A 6,000-nucleotide genomic window follows, 5' to 3' on the forward strand; every position below is an offset into this window, starting at 1 on the left:
TGCACATCTAAGTGATGCACTAATTATCCCTTGTTTTAGACTGTCTGTTCAAAGATGTTATGTAACAGAAAATCTTGAAAGACAAAGATAATCTATTTTTCAGGAGCAAAAGGCAGGTGTGTTTACTACCCATTACAAAAGATTTGGCTTCCGTAAGCTCAGAATTCCTCTCCTATAACATGGTTCACAGTGTTTGTAGATGTCTTTTAGGCCCCTTCAAGTTATCCTATAGGAATTGGGAACTGGAACAAATGCTGATGCTCTGGCTCCTGCAATGCTATGAGGAATAAATTGTCTGTCTTCTCTGATTCAGGAGTCTTATGTCTTCTACAAGCATCCATGAAACTATGGCAGGCTAGTCTCAGACCCTTCAAAGTTCTTGAAACTTGGGAATATGAAGAACGCATGCTTATATAAGCAAATAGAATAGCAATGGTATTGTGAGGTATGAAGAATCTAGGAAAATTGGGTCTGTGAGGATGTGGGGTGAGAAAAGACAGAAGTAAATGAGGAAAAAAATGAAGACACAGGTAGAGGGGATAGCATGAGCAAGGATGGGGTTGTGGAGATAGAGATGGTGAAGAATGTTTTAATATCACCCAAGAACATTAATGCTTTTATTAAGGCAATGCAATTGAGGGCTACTAAGTAGAGGATGATATAATCAGATATAAGTTTTAGACATGTCACTTTGGTAGTAGTGGAAAATGACTTGGAATACAAGGATGGGAGGCAGGGAGCTCCAAAGACCAGCTAGGAACCATGGGAGCAATCCAGATGATGCATGATAAAAGTCTAAAATAGAGAAAGAAGATAGAGAAGCAAGACTTCACAACGTATTATGAAAGAAGGATCAAGTGGTTGTATTGAAAAAACAGATTCTGGGGCTTCTATAGGCTGAATCCCAGTTTTTCTGTCTTTGATACCTGAGTAAATAAAGGTAACATCTACCATTATAGATGGTGGAGAAATAAGGAACCATAGCATATGTAGGGGTGCTTGGACTTCACATATGTATGTAGGTATTTGGTTTAGAAAGAATGATCACTCTAGGTGGGCAGGATGTGTATTACTCTTGTTTGACAATTAATCCTAAGGATTAAGTGTATTGCTGAGGGTAATATGGTTAGTGAGTTAATAGTGGAACTTGAATCAAATGACTGGTCCAGTGGCCTTTTTATTCTGCTTACTAGAGCCAATTTTCAGCACCAGTCGTAGATCTCTTATCCACTCTCAAAAGATCTTGGTATCACCTGGGAGATGAAGGAAGCAGAAGGGAGAGGAAAGTAGGGAGCTATATATGCTTTTTTTGTTTGAAAAATATACTATACCTGTTAGTTCACTACTAAAAGAAAAGGAACTGAAGATTTATGTTTGGGTCTTCCTTGTTAATAAAATAGCTCAAAAATGTATATTCTTAGAGGCGCTGATCTTAGATGACTCAAGAAGAAATATGTTCTGCCGTAAGGTGGATGCTCATCTTTGAATCTCCAATCATTAGTCTAAACTTGTTCACAATAGCACAAGGCTAGAGCACTGACTTTGTGTCTATATAATCCTAAAACATCCCATCAGCCAGTTCAGTGAAAACCATGAAAAGCCATGTAAGTCAGTCTTCTTGTTTGATTTTTGCTGTTATAGACAGAGGTTTTATCATTGGTTCCCAAATCAAGTTTTGGTATGGTCTCAGAAACTGTCAGTTTTCTGTCTGGGCCTCAGTTTGGTGTCTGCAACACAGTATGCTCTCACATAATGTCCATGGAATCATAAGATCTTTTACCATCCTAATGATCTAAGAGTGTTTGAGAGTTTCAGGAAAGAGTGTGAAAAGAATAGAGTGGACAAGTAAGGTCAGAATATTAAAGAAATCTACATTTAGGGACTAAGAAAAAAAGGGCTAAAAAAAAAAAAAAAAAAAGAACTAGGGAAACAGCCAGGGAAGAAATATTTTAAAAATGTATTTCTGTCTGTCTTTTTCTAAAGGAAATCTGTATCTTAGGAATTAGTGAACTTTATGAGTTAGTTGGTGATGAGTTAGTTAGTTCTATGCCTGTACAGGGCCCTGTGAGGGAAAATTAAGGCATGAGAAATCTGAGTTGGGTATAAAAAATTTAAATTTCTGTTTAATATAAGGAGAATGGGAAGTCTTACTGTAAATTATCTCCAATATCTGTTGTAATATTAGATACCTTTGAAATCCTTCAGTCCTGGTTGTGCCCATTACTCATTATCTATGTGTTCATTACCATGTGTCTTGTCTCTTCAATGGATATGTCAGTTTCTTAGGAGCAGAGTGTCAGCACACATTGGATGAGCAATACATGTATTTTAATTTATTAGTTTAGAATAGTGTCAGTCTTCAGAGACTGACAGAGTCAAACTCGGAGTTGAAGACTCAAGAAGAGGGGAAATGTTTAGAGTTCTCTTGGCTAAAGGTGAGGTGCTTTCCAGGTCCTTCAGGCTCTGAGAGCATCTGAAATGTCTTAAGTGGACCTGAGAATCCAGAGTCTCAGCTTGTGCCCAAACTGCCCATCACCCTCTTGTCCTCTTTGCACCCATAATTCTGAGAAAGGCAGTTTGCTTTTTCATCTTGTAGGAAACACAGTCTCAGAAAACAGCTGCGTTCAACGTTGGATCCTAATGGTAAATATCACACTTGGTCTTTGGCAGGGGATGCCCTTGGCTCCCAAAATAACCTTAACCACGGTTAAGATTTCCCACAATTGAAGAGTACTGAGAGAATCAAATGCAAAAGAATTGATAGACATTTAATCCCATTGTGCTCAACAATTTGGCTTTCCCTTGTAGTCACATTAGTGATGGCTACCAAAGCTTAACCTCTTAGGATCCAGGGTGATGAGGGGTCACGTAGAGACCTGCAAATTTGTGAGACATCTTGGCAAGTGAGGGAGAGTGGTCACATGCAGGATCACTGAGCCCAGTCTTTTAATTTGATTCATAAAATACAGCTATAGATAGTGCTGTCCTGTACTTGGTCTGTTGCAACTCATCAACCCACAGGGGTAACTGGAGCAAGACTTAGAATCAGTGAATATCTTTAAAGTTTTTGGTTTGCTGCTCTTAGATTACTTTCTCACACATTCCTCTATCTCTTCCTGGGTATTTGGTGACTTACACTGTTTTTCCCTATAGTAAGCCTAAAGCGTCAGTCATTGCCCTAAGTGCTTCTGAACCCATTACCAACAAATCTGTGTGGGTTTAAAATCTTATTTATAAATTTTTAAATCTATGTGGATTTATCCTATTTCTTATCATTAGAAATATTCATTGTCTGTACTGTACCTATTTGCATTTCTTTATTTTCTATGCAGTGGTCATGCATTGTGGTGATGATTAAGTGGATGCACAAATTTGTCAAAACTCACTGACTTGTACACCAAAAATGTTTGTAGTATATTATAGGTAAATTATACCTTAATAAAAAGTTGCTTTAAGGAGTGGAGGTAATCCTTTCTTCAGATGAAGCTGACCTGTTAAGGACCAGGAGACTTTCCTTTTGACAATCAGCCCACCTATCACCGAGGTGGGGGCCATGCACATCCTGATTTGGCAATGAGGTACAGAATTTTACAAAATAGACCTCCACCTGAGAAACCTTAGCATCAACCTGGATGTGAAAAAACCTTCAGGTCAAACATTTGCAATGTGCAATTGTTAACAAAATCATGTACTTGTTTATGATAATAGAATTATTTTAGTTTATAATGTGAATTCTATATGGTATGTAATAATTATAGTTCAACCACTTTATTTCATTTAAGCAAAGCAATTAAATATAAATCATGTGTTTTACTGAGTATAATTATCAAAATAATTTATTATTATAATATATGAATCCCCACATTCTCACCATTGTATGTACCAACATTTGAATTCAAATTATATTTCTACATACAAAGTCTTAGTCCAGAAGAATCCTAACTGTTAGAACTCTGATTGATATCTCTGTTCCCTGGTCTGTGCCATTCTCACCGGGGTCGGCCATCCCAGAGGCTGCCCAGGGCCAGTCTGGAGCCACAGCATCTGTGAGGTGCCTCTGCTGCCTGTGCTGCCCTCCTCAGGGAGTGCCTGCCACCCACCAGTTGACTTGCTGGATGCAATGAGTCTGCTATTGTCCACCTCCAGGCTTCTCAAAGACTTCTTGTCCAAATTCTGTGTGGTTGCTCCCTTCTACACAGTAAGCCCCAACTGCCTGCCTATTGTGGTTTATCTTTCCCATTTTCCTAATTTTCCTTCCCAGCTTGTTCCCAAACTTTCAATACCCTGACTGATCCCTTACTTAAAATAATGCATCATCTTCCTAATTCTGTTGACTACAGATGTTTTCTTGTAAAAAAACAATGCCAGTACTGTTGTCTGTCATCCATGTGGATGTGAGTGAATTACCTAACCTCACTGGTGATTATATTAGCTCTTTATCTAAAGTTCTTGTGAGGATGAAATGGGTTGATCTTTGTAAAGCAGTCAGAATGGTGCCTGGCACCTAGGAAGTGGTAGATAAGTGTGTGCTGCTATTATCAGTATTAGAAAGCAAAGGCAAAACATACAGCTCCCTGCTGGGATGATGAATGAAAAATGGGTTGCATTAGGTAACCTTTTGATGCCTATCTGAGGTGGGCCACATGAAGGTTTTGAGAGTCCTTCAGAGACACAAGGGAGGAGGTGAATTTGAAGGGTAGAGCCCTAGAGAAGGGATGTAGGAAGGGGGTGATGCCACAGGAGAGGGAGGGGGCATGAAAGTTTTGTGATTTTGTTTAGGGTCTTCAGTTATTTCTTATGTGTCACCAAGACTAATTTGTTCTTGTCACCTTCTGCCTTTGGGATAAATAGTTCTGATGCCTCCTCTGCTTTTATTAAAATTTCTTCTCACCAAATTCTGTCCTTGGCCCTGTAGGGCAGGTCCCCAAGTTGGGCCTGATTCATGACCACAACAGCAAGAAGATGTTATAGGAAGGAAATAAAGGAATCAGCCTTTGGTTGGCATGAGCAGAGTCATGTATGATATATTAAAATGCAAATGGAGCCCTCAATGAAAAACCACAGCACAAGATGTCCTGGGGAAGAGGAGGCCAGTGCTGTGAGCAACCTGCTGGGCCATGTTTATTGCATCTTTAGAGGAGGATGCATGTATTTGTGTCTCACTCAGCTAGCGAGTTGTGGGGTGTGACTCATGAATCTTCTCAGCTACCAGCAGTCCCTGCAGGAAAGAAAAGTAAAGGCAACTTTCTGCAGGCAAAGATACTTGGATACAGTTCAATGAACTGGTATTTAATAATGACCATCTGGGTGGAGCTTGGGCTTTGGCACTGAAGAGAAGGAGAAAGCAAGGTTTCTGCCCCTTTGGAGCCATCATTCTGTTGGGGATTCAAGATTTCCACATGTAAGCAAGTGTAGAATGACAGAACCTAGTGGGCATTTGGTGATTAGGAATCCACAGGTCCCAGGGAGAGAAATAAAGTTCAAGGCATAGTCATATACTGCATAATGATGTTTCCATCAATGATAGACCACATATATGATGGTGGTCCCATAAGATTATAATATCATATTTTTATGGTACCTTTTCTATACTTAGGTGTATTTAGATGTACCATTACCACTGTGTTACATTTGCCTACAGTAGTCAATACAGTAACATACTGACTGTACAGGTTTGTAGCCTAGGAGCAATAGGCTATACCATACAGCCTAGGAGTAGGCTATACCATCTAGGTTTGTTCAGTATACTCTATAATGTTCACAACAAAATTGTCTAACAATATGTATTCCAACATTAAGTGATGCAAGACTGTAGCTTAAGTGTAGAAGCTTAATTTATTGGCTACATAACTGAGAAAAACAGGAGTGCTTGTCCTTGGGGACTCCTGAGGTACATACAGCTCTCTGCCTCCTCATGTGTTGTCTTCATTCTATTCTGATTACATGAGCTGCTTCCATGCAGTGGGAGTGGCCACTACTGCAGTTTCAGATTTGTATTTT

The sequence above is a fragment of the Homo sapiens genome, chromosome 18, assembly GCF_000001405.40.
Source record: "Homo sapiens chromosome 18, GRCh38.p14 Primary Assembly".
In the NCBI taxonomy this organism is placed as follows: Eukaryota; Metazoa; Chordata; class Mammalia; order Primates; family Hominidae; genus Homo; species Homo sapiens.